The 18925-nt window shown below is 49.0% G+C and overlaps 1 annotated feature.

The window, feature by feature from the left end:
* Window positions 7566-8066: an enhancer, noted in NCBI's record as "H3K4me1 hESC enhancer chr1:223660470-223660970 (GRCh37/hg19 assembly coordinates)". NCBI's record gives its function as "activates a minimal SCP1, AML or CMV promoter by ChIP-STARR-seq in primed H9 embryonic stem cells {active_cell/tissue: H9 hESC(primed)}" and the evidence as "EXISTENCE:reporter gene assay evidence [ECO:0000049][PMID:30033119]".

The following is an 18925-nucleotide window of genomic DNA, read 5'->3' on the forward strand; positions in this document are numbered from 1 at the left end:
AGATCAAAGAGTAATTTGCCTGCTTTCCCAAACCCAGACATCAGCTGCTGCCGTTCCTATGTGAGGAAGGGTTTACCCCACAGCCGTGGGAAGAAGGGAGCAGCAACACTTGTCCCATGTTTTGGGGGTGAGAGGGTAATGACAGGGAGACAGAGGGCCTGGGGCTGAACCCTCCACACTCCCAGCCTCAGAGAGGGGCCGGAGGGCGGTGCCCACACCCTGCACCCTCACCCGCTCACTCTTTACCCTTGTCGTGCCCCCTACTTCCCTCCAGCTTTAACATAAGAATCAGACCAAGCAGGCAGCCCTTCTCCTCTTCGAGAGTGAAGTGACATGGGAGAGGAGGCAGGAGCCAAGAGATGCCTTGCTCACCTGGCTGTGGGCCAGGGAAGGTCTCCTTAGCGTGAGGCAGCCCTGCTGGAACTCTGTTCTGGTGAGTGGCTCTCAGCTCACCTGCTTGTCGCAGCTCTTTCCTCTTGTCCGTTTCTGAGCCTGCATGGTCCCTAAAAGCTTAGTCTTTTCACCACGTCTCTCTGGATAGCAGCAGCAGCCTCCAGACAGCCTGCAGACTGCGTGTGTGTGGTGTGTTGTGGGGTGTGGGGTGTGTGTGGTGTGTGTAGTGTGTCGGGTGTATGTGTGTGTCTGGTATGTGCGTTGCATGCATGTGGTGTATAGGAATGTGTGGTCTGGGCTCTGTGTGGTGCATGTGTGTGAGGGTAATTTTGTGGTGTGGGGTATGTGTGCACTATGTGTATAAAATTGTGTGTTGGTGGAGGGTGTGGGTTGGGGCTGTGGGATGATCATCACTGGAAGGTGAACCGCAGCTCCATGATAACCTTTTGTGCATACACGTCATTTGTAATTAGCCAGGTCTGGAGAGTTCGAAACTGGGAGAAGAGAAAGAAGAGAAGAGAGAAAAGGAAAATTAATGAAACAAGTAACCTGCCTTATATGGATATTTGATTTGCTTGTTTGCACATTGTTTAGTCCTTACAAGCTCTGAAAATAAAACACAAGCACAGTATCAGGCTCAATTAGGTGCTTAAGAAATACCTTTTGATGATGACAAATGGCAGGGATGTTAATGACACTGCTTCCCTCCAGCTCCTGCTGCACAGAGCGCCCTTGGCTCTTCAGACTTACAGCTCTTTGCCTGAGCTGCTGTGAGCAAGCCTCTGCTGCCCACAGGAGATGGCCCTGTGGGCAGGGCCTCCCTGTGTCTTTTCACCTTTTGAGACAACCCCATCCACCTCTTTGGGCAGCAGCTCATAGCAGGTGCTCCCTGAACATGTCTGCCTTTGACTTGAAGGGGTCGGGACGCCGCTTGAGGATGCTAAAGGGAGGCAGCTCATTGTAATGCCTTCACCTCCACCACTTCCAGGAACTCCTCCTCTCCTTGTGGATCTCAGGGCTCATACGGTTTGCCCAGAGCCCAACAGCTACAAGTGCACTCAAACAGAACATTCCTCCGTGCGTTTGCTCTTGCAAAATGTGTGTTGGGGGCGGGGGCGGTGGCTCATGCCTGTAATCCCAGCACTTTGGGAGGCTGAGGAGGGTGGATCACCTGATATTAGGAGTTTGAGACCAGCCCGGCCAACATGGTGAAACCCCGTCTCTACTAAAAATACAAAAATCAGTCCAGCGTGGTAGCAGGTGCCTATAATCCCAGCTACCTGGAGGCTGAGGCATGAGAATCGCTTGAAACCGGGAGGCAGAGGTTGCAGTGAGCTGAGATCGTGCCACTGCACTCCAGCCTGGGCCACAGGGTGAGACTCCGTCTCAAAAAAAAAAAAAAAATGTGTGTTGGATCCCATGGTTCCCCTGCTGCCCAACACACCGAGAACCAAACGCACACTTGCACGCTCGCCGTGGGGCCTCAGTCACCTCCTGACTCCCAAACACACAGCTCTCACTGCTGCCTCCCGTGCTCCCCCAGGCCAGCGCTGGCTCTCTCAGTGCTAGTATCTTTTTATAAGGATACCAGTCGTGCTGCATTAGAGCCCACCCTACTCCAGCATGACCTCATCCTAACTTAACTAATTACATCTGCAGTGACCCAATTTCCAAATAAGTTCACATTCTGAATTACTGGGGGAATAGAATTTCAACATATGAATTTTGAGGGGACACAGTTCAACCCATTACTGCAGCTATCCACAGAAGAAAGTCCAAATTCCTTATGTGGCATTCAAGGCCCTCTGTAATCCAATGAGATCCACGTTTCCAGCTGTTTCTCTTCTTCTTCTCCCCTAGGTGCACACATGTGATACTGTTTTGTATCAAGGCAGGATTCTGAGATTAAGTGAAGAAAGGGGAACAGTTAGGAGAGTAGCATCTGCTGAATGTTTACTAAATGCCACCGTCAATGACAAGTGTGTTTTATCTACGTCACTCTACTTTTTTTTTTTTTTTTTTGAAACAGAATCTCACTCTATTGCCCATGCCGGAGAGCAGTGGTGCGATCACAGCTCACTGCAGCCTCAAACTCCTGGGCTCAATCAATCCTCCCAATGCAGCCACTGTGGAAAATGGTATAACTTTCTCAAAAATTAAAAATAGAATTATCAAATGATCCAGCACTTCCACTTCTGAGTATATACCCAAAAGAATTCTAAGCAGAGATTCAAACAGATATCTGCACACTCATATTTATAGCAGCATTATTCACAATAGCCAAGAGGTGCAAACAACCAAAGTGTCCATCAAGAGCTGAATGGATAAACAAAATGTGGTCTATCCATACAATGGAATATTACTCAGGCTTGAAAAGGAAGAAGATTCTGATACATGCTACAACATGAATGAACCTTGAGGACATTATGCTAAATGAAATAAGCCAGTTTCAAAAGGATAAAAACTATATGATTCTACTTACATGAGGTACATAGAACAGTGAAATTCACAGAGACAGAAAGTTGAATGGTGGTTTCCAGGGGCAAAAAAAAAAACAAGGGAAGATTCACACTCCCTTGCAGGTTTCTCTCCACAGACCTCACCAGGTGTCAAAAAAAGAGTTCTCCAGGGGATTCCAATGTCTGCCAAGCTGTAAAGCCATCGGCCTTTTGGGTAGTTATCTTCATTTCTTCTTTGGGGAGAAGCTTGATTTTCTGTAAGCTGCAGAAGATAGCTCAAACCAGCAGCTCAGCCAGTTAAGGGGACGGAGGCTGCTGGTCTGCATCCTTCCAATGGTCTTTCGTCTCCCTTTTTCTCCTAACTTAAAGCTTTCATGATGGAGAAGTCTTCCCTGTTGTCTGCAATTTTCCTTCTCTCAAAACAACCTTCTGAATCCTCTTTTGGGGTGGGGTTTCAGATGTTGTGAAACCATCACATGCTTATGAACTAGCAGACATACAGCACCGGAAGTTGAGAGGGTGGACTGCTATTAGACTGCCTGGGCTGAGTCCTGAGGGCACCTCTTGCTTGCTTGAATGACTTCGGGCAAGTTACTTCACCTCTCCAAGATGTCATCGGGGCTCATCAAAGTACCCGCCCCATGAGGTCTCCTTGTGAGAACAACATGAGAAAAGCCTGTGCAAAATGCTTGCCTGCCACGTAGAAAAAAAGCTTCCATAAATGTTGGTTCATATTGTGAGCTTTCAAATCAACCAAGTGTGAATAATTTCTACTTCATTCCATTGGCTATGGCAGGGGAATACAAAGATTTGTCAGAGCCATTTCCAGCCTACAGGAGTTTACAGCTATCTGACTTTACAGCTACGAGTGCCGTGAGAGAGCTACAAACCCAATGCTGCAGGTGTTCAAAGTCAGAGATTTAATAACCACGGAGCCGGGAATTAGGGAAAGCCTAATGGTGAATGGATTTAAGCTGACCCCGGTGGAATATGAAGTACAAAGCTGACTTCCCTGCAACTCTGTCTGGTGACATCCTTTTCTTTTTCCAAAGAGATACTCAAGACTCAGAGAGATTCAAAACCACCCAAGGGTCACAGGTGGTTTATCAAAACCCCCACCCCACCCCCCAAATACACACCAAAAAGCTAGGTTTAATAATCCATGACTCAGAACCTGGAAGGCTCTCTGCAGGGCTGAGGGGCCTCGCCGGCTGTCTATGACTGCTGCCCGCCTAGCAGGCACTGACCCAGGCCCCAGGCTCCAGGACAGTGTGCTGTCAGCCAGAGGCAGCTGTCAGCCAGACTGCTCCCCTCCTCTCAGCCTGGCAGGGGTACTCAGGGTAGTTCTCTCTGTTGGGGACCCTAAGCATGAAACAGTATTGGAGGAGGCTGTGCTGAGAAACCCACTGAGGGAGGAAGGCTGACGGTCTGTGTTCTTCTAGTGGTCTCTCTTCACCCTTTGTTCTCCTAGCATAAAGCTTTCACGATGGAGATGCCTTCCCCATCATCTGCAGTTTTTCTTCGCTCAAAACAAGCTTCTGAGACATCTTTCCGGGGAGCTTTGGTCATTAGAGCTTGGGAGAGGGAGGCCCTTCTCTTCCGGTGTCCTCACAGGGTCTCTGTCATTTAGATTCTTGTTGAACAACTGGGCTTTGGAGGGGGTTGGAGGAGACAGTGAGTGATGGTGCTGGGGCCCAGGGCCATTCCAAGCAGAAGAAAGGCACTAGCAGGGGCATGAGGCAGGACAGCCCAGGGCATGTGTGGACATCTGGGAAGAGTCTGTCTATATTCTGACTAGGAAGTGTACATGTGAAGGAGTGAGAGGTTAGACTTGAAAGATGAGGGTAGGTGTGGGCCAGACTGCAGAGGGTTGTCCTTACTGCAGTGGATCACGGGGAACCATGGAAGCTTCCAGAACAAGAAGTGAGCTGAGACAACAACTGTGACATATAGTTTGTTGAGTGAATGAATGAATGAATGTCTGAGGAAGACACGACAGTGGCAGGAGGGGAGAGTCCCCTACAACAAGCCCCACAGCCCTGCTGCATATGCTTAGGTAACCAGTGTGAACTGCTCTGCAAATTCAGACCTCAAGTAAAGTCATATCTATTCTATTTTTTACAAATGAAAAATAAAGCCAGCTCAGACCTACATGCCAGAGGAATGAGAAGTCCAAAATCTCTCTCCTGGTACTCCCTGTATCCCTCCCTGCTTTTTGCTGTCAGCTGCCGTTGACGCTGGTCCTCTGAGTCTAAGACAGTGCTGACTGCTGCCCAGGTACAGGCTTCCTTGATCTCCAAGGGAGGAGTGTGCCCACATAGTGCTCCGTGGCTCCCTCAGTTCTCAGGGCTCTGGTACTCACCTCCTTCAGGCCCACACCCAGGCATCCCCCTAAGGACAGCAGTCCTAGGAGCCTCCACGGAGTCTCTCAGGCCTCCACCTCTGTGCCTTCATGTCCTGCCTTCCCTAAACACCCATCACACAGGAAGTGGGGCAACTTTCCTCTTCCAGCCTTGGGACACAGAGGACAACAGCTTTCCTGGAAATGTGGTCACCCTAAGTATTGCCAGGGGTCCAACAGCCTCCGAATGCAAAGGGTCTAAAGACACCTTTTTCTCCAAAGATGAAGTCACTCTCCCTCTTCAACACAGAGATCCAGATCCTCTCCTGGGAACCCAACACCCCCATCCCTTTTCAGGTGTGAAAGAGGCTCCGTTTAGTGCCTCAAAAAGGACTTACTCCACTAAGAAAAACCAAGGAAATGCCAAGATCTCTTTTTGGGAGCAGAAAAAGAAGAAAAAGGGAGAAGGGAGGAATATTGAGGATCTCCCACTATGTTTATATTGTAACATTTTTCATCCTATATTATAATTTCTGCTATTTTACTTGGAATTTTCCTTAAAATTAGATATCCTTTATATAGTAAAATCTCTAGCATATAGCATTTGTTTATTAGTTACTGAGGAGGAAGGAGAGGAAACAAAGAAGCTAGAAGATGGAAACTGAGATTTCATCTTTTGCATGGCAGGTGCCCTAAGCCTCCAACAGCCTTATAAGGAAAGTATTGTTATTATTATGATTTCACTGATTTAAAAAATTGAAGACATAAATGAGACGAGTAAGTGAATAAATGGCAATGCCATTTCTGTCTTCCTTTCCACCATGCAAACATGGCTTACTTTCCTGAATCATAAAACATTTTTCAAGACGTCAGAGAGCCAAAAAAAGTATATTAAAAACAGATTAAAGCAGTATGGTTTCTGAACCATTCAGTAAAGGATGAAAATAGCTTTGTTATCCAGAGACTGTCTTCATAAAGTCATTATTATCATGAGTTAGAACCTGTATTAACTCAGAAATTAAAATAGTGCTGTGTGCGGCAAATTCTGAAGACACACTCCATGATTTTCAGAGCACCTATTATTATTCTCCTGAACTTTAGCTGGATCTGAATGATTTACCATAAGAGGATCCTGTTTAAATGTTCTACTTCACAAAGAAAAAGTAATAAAATTGGATGATTCTGAAAACCTTATTTTTATATTAATTAGGAATGAAGTACAAACTCTAGAATAATCAGTCCAATGCTGGCATTTAGAAAGAAAAAGAAGTCCTCACACGTACTCCCCAGGTTTCCCAGGGGACAGTTCTGGGACCTCAAGCAGACTTGGAACAGTCCCTGTGGAAGAAAGTCATTTACAGGCTTGATTCTAATTGATCCCAACAGCAGCAGCTGTAACCATATACTTTTAATCAAATCTAAAGGCAAACTTAGGACAAAATATGTGTTCTTCTACTAAAACACACAGTGCATTTTTCTGAACTATATGATTACATTTTCTGGAAAGGACTTGGGGAATTATTCTTGTTCTAACCTCCGAGAGATATTGCCCTCTGTATTTGGCAGTCTCTGTGTCTGTTTCTGATCTTCTGTTCTGGGGCACCTCACTCTGACGGGTCCCTTTAGGGCTGGAGTTTGCCACATGGTCACAATCTTCAGCCGTGGGGTGGAGACTCTTTGACAGGTGATCCCTTGTCTGCTGAGCTCTGCCCAGCCCTGTGAGGAGAAAGGCAGCTAGCCTGCACAGCCTGGTGCTCCAAAGATGGATCCTCTCAGAACAAAGGGGAGCAGGTGTAGGGACAGATGCCACCTGTAGCAACAGCTTTCATCCAGAAGGGGTCCCCAAGCTAATCCAGTGCTTGGTACATTTGCATTCTCCCATTAATATCACAGGCACAATACTTTAGGTGAGAAAGAGAAGACCACAAATGAACAGAGATCCTTCCATATTTGCTTCACGGAAGCCCTCCCCTGAGCTACCTGAGGGTAGGTATAATACCTTATCTCTCACTCACAACACCTGCAATAACAGGTACATGACAGATGATGAAAGGGGCTGTATTAGTCTATTTTCACACTGCTATAAAGAACTGCCAAAGACTGGGTAATTTATAAAGGAAAGAGGTTTAATTGACTCAGTGCCACATGGCTGGGGAGGTCTCAGGAAACTTACAATCATGGCAGAAGGCAAAGGGGAAGCAAGGCACCTTCTTCACAAGGTGGCAGGAAGAAGTGCCGAGCAGAGGGAGAAGAGCCCCTTATAAAACCATCAGATCTAGGGAGAACTCACTATCATGAGAACAGCATGGGGGAAACAACTGCCCTCGTGATTCACTTACTCCTCCTGGTCCCACCCTTCACATGTGGGTTTTATGGGGATTACAATTCAAGATGAGATTTGGGTGGGGACACAAAGCCAAACCATATCATTGATGAATAAAGGAAGGAAAGGAGGGAGGGAAGAAAGGAGAGAGGGAGGGAGAGACAGAGGGAAGGAAAGGAATCCCAAGAATGAAAAGTTCAAGTTATGAGAAAGGGCTTCTTTAAAACCAGAGATCAAATACAACCCTAGGGGAGCAATGAATGGAGCTATTTCCATTCTCAATGAACTCTCATTCAGGGAGGAGCCCACACATGCTAAAATATCATCCGCCAGGGTAAGAGTTCGCATTTTCATAAAGGATCATGTAATTAAGTTGATTCACTGGTGGTTTGTAAAAACCCTCATCCTTGCCACCCCTCACTCTCTACACACGCACCAAAAATCTAGGTTTAATAATCCATGTCTCTGGTCCTGGAAGGCTCTCTGTGGGGCTGAGGGGCCTGGCTAGCTGCCTGTGGCTCCAGCCCACCTAGCAGGCACCTTCCCAGGCCCCAGGCTCCAGGAGAGTGTGCTGTCAGCCAGAGACATCTGTCACAGTCAGACCGCTCCCTTCCTCCCAGCCTGGGGGACCACACAGGGTAGTTCTCTCTGTTGGGGACCTTAAGCATGAAACAGAATTGGAAGAGACTGTCCTGGGAAACCACAGGGCGGGGGAGGCTGATGGTCTGTGTTCTTCACCCTTTGTTCTCCCAGCATAAAGCTTTCACGATGGAGACGCCTTCCCCGTGGTCTGCAGTTTTCCTCCTCTCAAAACAAGCTTCTGAAACATCTTTTGGGGGAACTTTGGTAATAGAGCTTGGGAAAGAGAGGCTCTTCTCTTCCAGTTGTCCTCACAGTGTCTGTGTTATTTAGGTTTCTATTGAACAAATGGGCTTCAGGAGTGTTTGGAGGAGGGCACTTAGCAATTTGAAGTGGCCCAGGAATGTCAAGCATCCAGATGCACCTGGAATATTAGGAGTTTAAATCAAGTACTGGCAAATTGCAGCTTGCCGGCCAATCCAGCCCTTGGCCTGTTTTTGTATGAGCAGCAAGCTAAGATGGTTTTTATATTTTCAAAGGATTCCAAAACAAAGAAGAAGGTACAACGGAGATACACGTGGCGTGCATATCCTAAAATCGTTACTCTGGCCCTTCATAGAATAAGCTTGCAAGCCCCTGGTAAATAGAAATGCGATAGATCAAAAAATGTGCACCATGCACAAGAAAAGGTAAAGCCCCAGAAGGATCCCTGAGGGCCGACATTCATGCCCAGTTGAGAATGATGCCACCTCAGCAGGCTCTGGAGCATGTGGTTGGTTAAGGCAATGAGAGCAGAAGCCTCCCAGGACTGAAATGAATTGAGATTTTACAATGTGGAAGGTGTGATGGTTAATGTTTTGCATCACCTTGGCGGCCCTCACATAGTTGGCCGAACACATCTGCATGTTGTCAGGAAGGCATTTTTAGGTGAGATCAGTAGGCTTTGAGCAAAGCAGATTGGCCTCTGGGTGGGTCTCATTCAATCCAATGAAGCCCTTAAGAGAACAAAGATTGACCTCTCCCGGGGAAGAATAAATACCACCAGCACATTGTCTTATGGCTGCAACATCAATTCTTCCCTGGGTCTCCAGCCTGCAGACCCACGCTGCAAATTTTGGACTTACCAGCTGCCTCTACTATCACGGAAGCCATTCCTTAAAGCAAATCACCTGAGATGGGGAGTTTGAGACCAGCCTGACCAACATGGAGAAACCCCGTTTCTACTAAAAATACAAAATTAGCCAGGTGTGGTGGCACATGCCCGTAATCCCAGCTACTCGGGGGGCTGAGGCAGGAGAATCGCTTGAACCCAGGAGGCAGCGGTTGTGGTGAGCCAAGATCACACCATTCTACTCCAACCTGGTCAACAAGAGCAAAACTCCATCTCAAAAAAAAAAAAAAACAAAAAAACAAAACAAAACAGTAAATCTCCCCTCCTATCAACATCTTATTGACTCTGTTTCTCCAGAGAACTCTAACTACTACAAAGGGCTGAACAATAAACAAATCTTTGCAAAACTTGCTCTCTGGCTAGAAGTAAGGCCTACTATGGCTTGTTCCTGCAATGCCACCGGACATCTGGGTAAATAAAAAGCCAACATGTCTGCATATTAGACTAGACTCTGCTGTCTCTATTTTTTCACAAGCCGCCCATGGGGCGGAGGACACACAGCAAACAGGCTCCTGGTAACTGCAGCACTCTCTCTCCAGGGGCTTCTTCCATTTTTTGTACACATCTCCAAGGCTTTGAAAGAGTGCTCAGGGCATGGCTCAAATCTAAGTGTTCTGAGGTTGGCAGCAGGGTCCTGGCTCTGTTCACTGTCTCTCCTCCTATGTAGGAAGCATGCAGTGATGTAAAGCCCACAGGCTGGGAGCTGCCTGGCTCAGGCTCCTGGGAAGCGGGCTCTGAGATAGAGCTTAGCGGGCAGGGAGGTTATTGGGCAGTGTTGTTGGACCATCTTCGTTGGGTGAGTGAGTCTGGCTATTCCAGGAAGGGAACATGGTCTGGCTGGGACTCTCTTTGGCTGAGGGCAATTCCCAGAAAGGACTCAGCTGCGAGCCAGCAGGAGGCAACATTCCCAGTGACTGGGAGATGAGATCCTCAGTCCAGGGTGGGGCATCTGAAGGGTGCTCCCCAACATTCACTACAGTGGGCTTCGGCAAATCACTTCCCAAGCAGGGCGCCAGCTTCCTTGTCTGCAGCCCCCATTCCCCCAGGCTTCATCCGCCTATGGAGACGAACAAGGTCCCTCCAACAGAAATGGCCTGAGTTTGCAACAAATCCTTCCCAAAACGAATGTAACTCACATGTGGGCAGGCTTCACACTGGTGTCTATCAATGTCATATCTGTAGCACTGACCAATATCACTATTTGATCAGCAGAGATTCCAGTGTTTTCTCGGGAGGTGTAGAGTCGAGTCATTGCCTCTAGAAGACCCAGGCAGGGTGGGCAGGGGAGTAGAAGGGCTCACAGATAAGAAAGCTGCTGCCTCTGTCTTCTGTCCAAAACTCCTATACTCAGATGCCCATGGGAGTCTAACCAGGCCTATGTGTGCCCAGTGACCAGGCAGTTTCAGACTGCCTCCAGTCTGCCAACCTCACCACCTCCTGCCCCACCTCTGGCCTGCAGACAAGTTCTGTCCCCTTCTCATGACCAGCTCCTTCAGAAGGAGTATTGGTTAAGGAGGGACAGCTCTCACCTTGATGCCCCAGCCCTTGGCCTCCTGGCTCCAGGCACCATGGGAGGGCGCAGTAAGGATAGCCAGGCCAGCCTCCCACCGTACCTGGAATGTGGGCCACAGTTCCCTCCAGCACCACGCCTTGCTGCCTAGACTGCTCCACTCATCAGATCTTTGCCTCACTCACTGCCACCTCCCCACAGGAGTCATATGTGTTCTTTCCAAACCATCTGACTTGGGGAAACCCAGGCCATCATCTGTGCCTAAACCCCAGTTGGGAGCTGGCTTTAATTATTTCCTACTAGACTCCTGGGCTGCCATCAAACCAAAGAATAATGCGTGTGGACATCATCTCACCGCTCAGCCCCTGCCAGGAGAGTTGAGAAACTCCCCTCGCTCCATGACTATTTTGGAGGCTGCCCGCTCAGAGACGATCTAAGAGAACTATGAGAGCCTGGCTCCAATGACATCAAAGAAACTGGGGGCTTTTCATGTGAGTTTGACAAAGGGGTCAAAGAAATGCTTTTTAAAAGCACATGTTAAAGTCTCCCCACCTCCACTTGTAAATGGCCACAGTGCCACTGGTCACACCCTCAATATACCCAGGATTGAGACTGCTGCTATTTGGCTCAGAAGAGCTGGGTTCCTCCTCTGGCTCTTCCCTTTTTGCAGGATGTACTCATCCTAACGGGGCCTAAACTTTCCCATTTGCAAAATGGAGATAGGCCAGCCTTGACTATCTGAGTGTAAACTTGGACATCAAGTGAAGGGACATCTGTGAAAAGAATGGGTCAACTATAAATGACAAAAATGTGGGGTCTCCTTTTCCCACATCCTGGTCTATCAGCCAGGGCCATGCTGTGATGTCATTAGTGCAGGCTGCTTATTCTCTGTTCCTCAGCCTAGGCCTGTGCCTCTTGGCCAGAGGCAAAGATGTGTATCAGAATCACCTGGAAGCTTTTTCACAGCACACGCTCCCCCGAGTGAAGGCTCTGAGATACCCTGGTAGGGGATAGGGGGAGGATGTGGGTTTTTAAAAAGTTCCCTAAACAGTTCCATCATGAAACCTCCACCTCTATGCCCAGCTTTCTCAAGCTCAACTGCCCAAGGAACCCAACGAGAAACAACAGCCCCCAAATTTCCAACACCTTTAGCTAATTCAAAGTCTACACCCAGCAAAATTTCATCAAACCTTCCTGGAGAGTAAATGTCACCAGGCATGACATCCTTCTCTCTCTCTTTTCTGGATGTAGCATCTCTATTACACAGCACACTTGCTCCCCTTCCGAGGCTGATTGTCCCGTCTGGAGCCAGTTCCTGCTGGAGAGGCCTGTGGTGCGGCAAATGGTTTCTAAAGGTCCCTTCCAGCTCTGAATTTTTTTTTTTTTTTAGATGGAGTTTTGCTCTTGTTGCCCAGGCTGGAGTGCAATGGTGTGATCCTAACTCATTGCCACCTCTACCTCCTGGGTTCAAGCGATTCTCCTGCCTCAGCCTCCTGAGTAGCTGGGATTACAGGCATGTGCCACCACGCCCGGCTAATTTTGTATTTTTAGTAGACAGAGGGTTTCTCCATGTTGGTCAGGCTGGTCTCAAACTCCCGACCTCAGGTGATCCACCCGCCTCGGCCTCACAGAGTGCTGGGATTACAGGCGTGAGCCACTGCGACTGGCCCCAGCTCTGAAATTTAATGAAACCCATCTTTTCTAAAGCCATTCTACAAAGTGACAGTGGCTTCCTGTGGGAGGTAAAGAGACTCCCTGGAAGTCATTAACATTTCTGAATCTTATGGGGTGCTAGGAAAGCAGTTTGGAAGGGGGCCAAACCAAATTTGGAGCCCAGGGAGGCTCGCTTTGGGGCGATCCTGGCAAGCCCACATTCCGAGAAAGTGTACCTCAGCGATGAGGCCACCGCTGGCTCTCAGCCTGGAGCTCCTGGCCTGGGGCAGGGAGAGAGAAGGGGCCTAAGAGTGGCTGGCACTTACTGAGCATGTCTTATGCCCCAGGCCAAGCCTGTCCGTGATCCGGTTCATCTATTCTTCACAACAACCTATGCAGTAGGTCCTTTGTGAAACCACTTGCAGGTAAGGAAGTTACTAAAGCTCTGAGACAGTAAGTGACTGGGCTGACGGCCAGAAAGAGTCAGGACGAGGATGCACCCCTAGCTGTCAAACTCCTATCTTCTGCAACCAGACAGAGGTGGGGCAAGATTCTAGGAGAAAAACCGAGCAGAAGGAGGGGTTGTCAGGAGTTGTCGTTCAATGGGTATGAAGTTATAATTATACAAGACGAGTAAGTTCCAGGGGTCTGCTGTACAGTATAGCACCTATAGTTAACAGTAAGGTAGAGTATCTCCCCTTATTTGTGGGGAATATGTTCTGAGACACTCAGTGGGTCCCTGAAATTGCAAATAGTACTGAACCCTATATATATATTATGTTTTCTGCTATACATCTGTATGTATTACAAAGTTTAGTTTGTAAGTTAGGCACAGTAAGAGATTAACAAAAATAATAACAAAATAGAACAAGTATAACAATATGCCAGCATCACTACTCTTGCACTTTGGGGACTTTATGAAGTAAAATGAGGGTTGTTTGAACACAAGCACTGTGATACCAAGACAGGCGATCTCACAACCGAGACAGCTACTAAGTGACTAAAGGGTGGATGGTGTAGACAGCGTACAAAGCAATGATTTGTGTCCCAGGTGGGACGGAGCAGATGATAAGAGACATCATCATGCTACTCAGAAGGATGATGAAAGGGTGCACAATTTAAAATGTATGAACTGTTTATCTCTGGAATTTTCCATTTAATATTTTCAGACTACAGTTGACCGTGGGTAACTGAAACCACAGAAAGCAATATGGCAGATAAGGAGGGACTGCCGTATTTTGCACCTAAAAATGCATTACAAAAGGGGATCTCGGGCTGGGTGTGGTGGCTCACACCTATAATCCCAGCACTTTGGGAGGCCGAGGCAGGCGGATCATGAGGTCAGGAGATCGAGACCATCCTGGCTAACACGGTGAAACCCTGTCTCTACTAAAAATACAAAAAAATTAGCAGGGCGTGGTGGCGGGCGCCTGTAGTCCCAGCTACTCGGGAGGCTGAGGCAGGAGAATGGCATGAACCCAGGAGGCGGAGCTTGCAGTGAGCCAAGATTGCACCACTGCACTCCAGCCTGGGCGACAGAGCAAGACTCCATCTCAAAAAAAAAAAAAAAACAACAACAACAACAACAGAAAAGGGGATCTCATGACAAGGGCTCTTAGCACACACTGAAAAAAAAGGAACCCAGGGAAACTTCTGGAGGTAATAGCTATGTTTATTATCTTGATTGTGGCATGGGTAGCATAAGTGTGTACATATACACTCCCCAAATTGTATACATTAATTATGTGTAGTTTTTTTGTATATCCATTGTACCTCCATAAAGCTAAGGGGTGACTAAATGGCCTGCCAGACATGGAGCTCTCAGCAGGCCCTTCCTTTAGCTCAGCGCGTAGGGAGTTAGGGACGTATATGTGCATTGAGGAGGAGAGGAGTAAAGATCTCTTCCTGGAGGGCGATGCTTCACATCGTTGGATTTCCAGATAGGGTCTCATGCTGCCACCCAGGCTGGAGTGCAATGGTGCCATCATAGCTGTCTGAAGCCTCCAACTCTTGGACTCAAGCAATCCTCCTGCCTCAGCCTCCTAAGTGGGACTACAGGCGTGCACCCATTATGCCTGACTAATTCTTGTATTTTTTGTAGAGATGAGGTCTCGCCATGTTGCTCAGGTTGGTCTCGAACTCCTGGGCACAAGTGATCTTTCTGCCTCGGCCTCCCAAAGTGCTGAGCACCTGGCCAATACTTCCCATCTTACCAGACTTTGGATTGCATGGTGTAGTCTCAGGAGGCTGCCCGAGTGTGACCCTGTCTCCTTCTCCTGGACCTTCTCTCTTTATCTCTTTCTCAGCGTGTGTGCAGCCTGAAGCGCCACACCATTTAGAGCTCAGCAGAGCTGTCTTCTCTGGTCTTGGTGTTCTATCCGTCCTACTTTTCTAGGATTCCAGGCAGATAACATCCTCATTTGAACTGAAAACACCCTGGGCACTGGGGCTCTTCAAGAGCCTTGCAGGCCTGAGTCTTGGCGCTATGGCCCAAAATAAGAAGGCGTGAGAAAGCCTGAACCTCTACCCTTCTTCCACACACTGGCCTGCTCAGGGAAAGCAGAATATTTCCATTTATTTTTCCTTTTCTTGTTTTTTTAAACACTTATGTCTTATAATAGCTGGTATTCTTCAATGTTGACTCTCATCATTATAAAGCCCTTATTCCCTAAATGTTTGCTCAACATTTTTTGTAGAGCAAAGGACGGGGAGCTACAGGCCTCTGCAAACAGACGCTTCTCAAAGGCAAGGGAGGAATGTGCTCAAGGAAATCTAAATCCAGAGGGTCGTGGTCCCAGAGCCCTTGGCTGAGCCCTGCAAGTTTCTCCGGGCAGCCAGAGGGCTGCAGCTCATTGCGGAGGCTGCAACATTGCTGCCTTCAGAACCCACTAATTGACAAGCCACTGGGGCCTGCAAAGCCCATGGAGGCTATTAGAGAAAAGGTCATCCCACCTCCCACCCAGAAGTACCACATGGGACGTGCCTGCAAGCAGCAATAACAGTAGGATGGTTCCAGTGATCCATATCCCAGTGAGGCCTCTGTGCTCAGGCCTCAGCACGCCGGAAGGTTCTTTGGGGAGCTCTGAGACCAGGGCTGGCTCAGGTGTATCTCAGATGGTGCCCCAAGCCAGGGATCTCCAGCGACTTCTTGGCTGTCGGAACTGTGGCCTCTCCTGTGACCACTTCTCTTTGCATTAACTCCCTATATTCATGAACTCCTTGTGGTTTTCAAGACGCTCTCACTCACATATTTTATTTGATCCTCACATTTCCCTGGGGGAAGGCAGATATGGGTGCCATTTTGCAGGTGAGTAAACTGAGGCACTGAAAGCTTAATGGCTCACCTAAGGCCATTTGGCTTCTAAAGAGAAACCGGGGACTAGAAGCTAGGCCTTGGCGCTGCGTCCCAGTGTCTTCCCCGCTGCACTGAGTGCCTCCCTGCCACCCCAGGATTTATGGCCTTTGTCCCTTTCAGTGAATGGCCCCATTTACCAGCCCCCAAGCCAGAAAACTGGGGGTCACCACCACTCCTCCCTCCTCACCCATTCTACCCTAAATGTCTCTGCAGTCCACCCCCTGCACTCTGTCCCTACAGCCACTGCCTAAATTCAGGTCCTTATTTCTCACGTAAAGTAATGCAGCACCCTCCTCACCATCCTCCACCTGACAGTCAGAACACAGACTTGGGTAGGTTTCTTCCTGAGCAATCCTTCAGTGATTCCCCACAGCCCTCAGGAGAAAGCCTACATCCAGAATAGCCTTCGAGGCCTCCCATGAGCGGCCTGCTTCTTTCTCCTCCATCACCCAGCCATGCAACTGTTGATCCTATCCATTCCCTGTGCTCAACAGGCACCCACCCACTACCCACCCTGCCCTCAAAATCTCACTGGACAGCTCCTGGTCAGCCTTCAATATGGGCCTTGGCCTCACCTCCTCTGGGAAGCCATCCCAGACTCCTCCAGCCTCAGGTAGGGGCTCCCACTGCCCCAGGGGTCTCCTCCCGTGATGAGGCTGCTTGTGCTGTGATATCACTGTGGATGGTCATTCCTGTCTCTCCTACTGGACCGTGAGTTCCACTGTGGGGGCTCTAACCTCTGTATCACCTGGGCCTGGCTTAGGACATGCGTTTAGAGGCACTAAGTAGGTCCAAGGACTTCCATTGGATTACTGAGATGCGGACTCTGTTTAGTGTTAGGATGTTAGAATCCTTCCCCAAATCTTCATTCTGTCTGGGTCTGACTTGGCTTCCTCGAAAAAGTGCTGATGCTGGCCGGGCGCGGTGGCTCACGCCTGTAATCCCAGCACTTTGGGAGGCCGAGGCAGGCGGATCACGAGGTCAGGAGATCGAGACCATCCTGGCTAACACGGTGAAACCCCGTCTCTACTAAAAATACAAAAAATTAGCCGGGCGTGGTAGCGGGCGCCTGTAGTCCCAGCTACTCGGGAGGCTGAGGCAGGAGAATGACGTGAACCTGGGAGGCGGAGCTTGCAGTGAGCCGAGATCGCGCCACTGCACTCCAGCCTGGGCGACAGAGCGAGACTCGGTCTCAAAAAAAAAAAAAAAAAAAAAAAGTGCTGATGCTGAAGTCAGCCAGGCTTCCCGGCCCCCAGCAGCCTCGCCCTCACCCACACCCCACCCACCTACCAGGAATGGACAAAAACAATGCTCCAGGGACCAGGTGCCACCCTGAGAACAGCCCTGAAGATACACCCCAGGCAATGGCTAGTAAAAGAACACTCAGCTGCTTGGGGACGGGGCTAGAGATAAGGAATGACAATGTCAGCCCAAGCTGACCACCCAGGACCAAGGAAGTGATAAAGGAGTTACAAAGAAATTATTGAGGCAGGTAGTGAGGGTAAGGAAGTCCTCAGTAAGGTTTTTCTTTTAATGAAAAGCAGCCCCCAAATCATTTTCTTTTCTAACAAAGAGCAGCCAGTATAATCGAGCTGCAGACACAGACAAGCAAGTTAGAAGCTTGCACCCATGAATGCCGGCAGTTGTGCCAGTAGGAAAGGGGCTACCTGAGGCTAGCTCCATCGTCCCTTCTCTTTGCCAGCCACATGTACAATGAGGAGCAGACAACATGGCGCCAGCCAAGTGGAAAGACCATTTGCATAATAAGATTAGGGTGGGGTGGCCAGCTTCACCACAGGATATGTAAAGTCACACCTGGTCCAACCAATCTGTGGGCCCCATGTAAATCAGACACTGCTTCCTCAAGCCTGTCTATAAAATCCGGTGCACTCTTCTGCCAGCCAGAAGTCCCATTCCTGCGCCCCTCTCTCTTGCAAGAGACGACGTCTCTTGGCATGAGAAGACAAACCTCAGATATTGCCCCAGACAATGATGCTGCTTCAGAAGTGGGGCCAAGTTGGGAGGCCAAAATGAAGCCAAGTTGAGAGCTATGGACCATCTGTTTGAGGATCTCCCTCCACTCTGCAGGGTTGAGGCTGCCTGGCTGGGGTCCACATTTCCAAGTCCCCTTTGCGTCTCAGAGAAAGCAGTGACCGGGTTCTGAACTATGGAATGAAGGTAGAAGTGGTGTTCCTCACTTCCTTGTTTGGCCCTTAGAGCTTCCTGCACAGTCCTCCACGCTCTAATTTGCCTCACCTGCCAGCTGGATATTAATACCCAGGGCTTCCATGGGGGTGTGCTGGGAGGAGGGCAGACCCCTGACTGTAGGACACCACCTCCTCCCCTACCGCTAATTGGACTTTCATGTGAACAAAAAAGAAACTCGTATTGTGTTAGGCCCTGGGGATTTGCGGGTTTATCCGCTACTAATGCAGTGCAAAAAGCTGGAGCCAGGCAAGACAGAAGGACTCCCAGAATCAGCCACAGCTCCTTGAATGAAGCCTCCTGTCTCTAGCAGTGTAGGAGCTGGTGACTGGGGTGAGCCTGGGGTAAGACTGGGGTAAGCTGGTGACTGGGGTGAGACAGGGAGGGTCAGGATCCCGCCTCTAACATTTACAGAAAGTATGTCCTAGGGCCAGGTACTTGCCCTCCCTGGGCCTCAGTCTTCCTCTATAATGCGGAGATAGTATTAGATCATATCTCAGAAGAATGTTCTAAAAGATGCCAGTGAAGGCCCACCAAGACACCCTTTCTCAGTCTGGGCTGCTAACAGCCCTCAGCTGCACCCTTCTCTGGAAAATTGCCTTTGCCCCCTTAAGCCGACTCACCTAGGGATTCCTAAGAAGCTAAACCCCCAGCCCTACACCCTGCCCACCCACCCCACCCTCCCACCCACTGACTGATAAGAGGAACCAAAGCCCTTGCCTCAAGGCAGGGCAACCCCGAGGTATCACCCAGGCTGCAGGTTGCCCGGTCGGGTGGGGCTGAGGCGAGACTCCAGACGGGGCTCCTCTGTGCCTGGCCTCCTCACGAGTTCTTTCTGGCTTCCCTCACTTTCATGTCAATTTCTCCTGTTAGCATTCACTCACTCACTCACTCACTCACTCACTCACTCACTCACTCACTCACTCACTCACTCAG

This window comes from Homo sapiens, chromosome 1, assembly GCF_000001405.40.
Source record: "Homo sapiens chromosome 1, GRCh38.p14 Primary Assembly".
Lineage (NCBI taxonomy): Eukaryota > Metazoa > Chordata > Mammalia > Primates > Hominidae > Homo > Homo sapiens.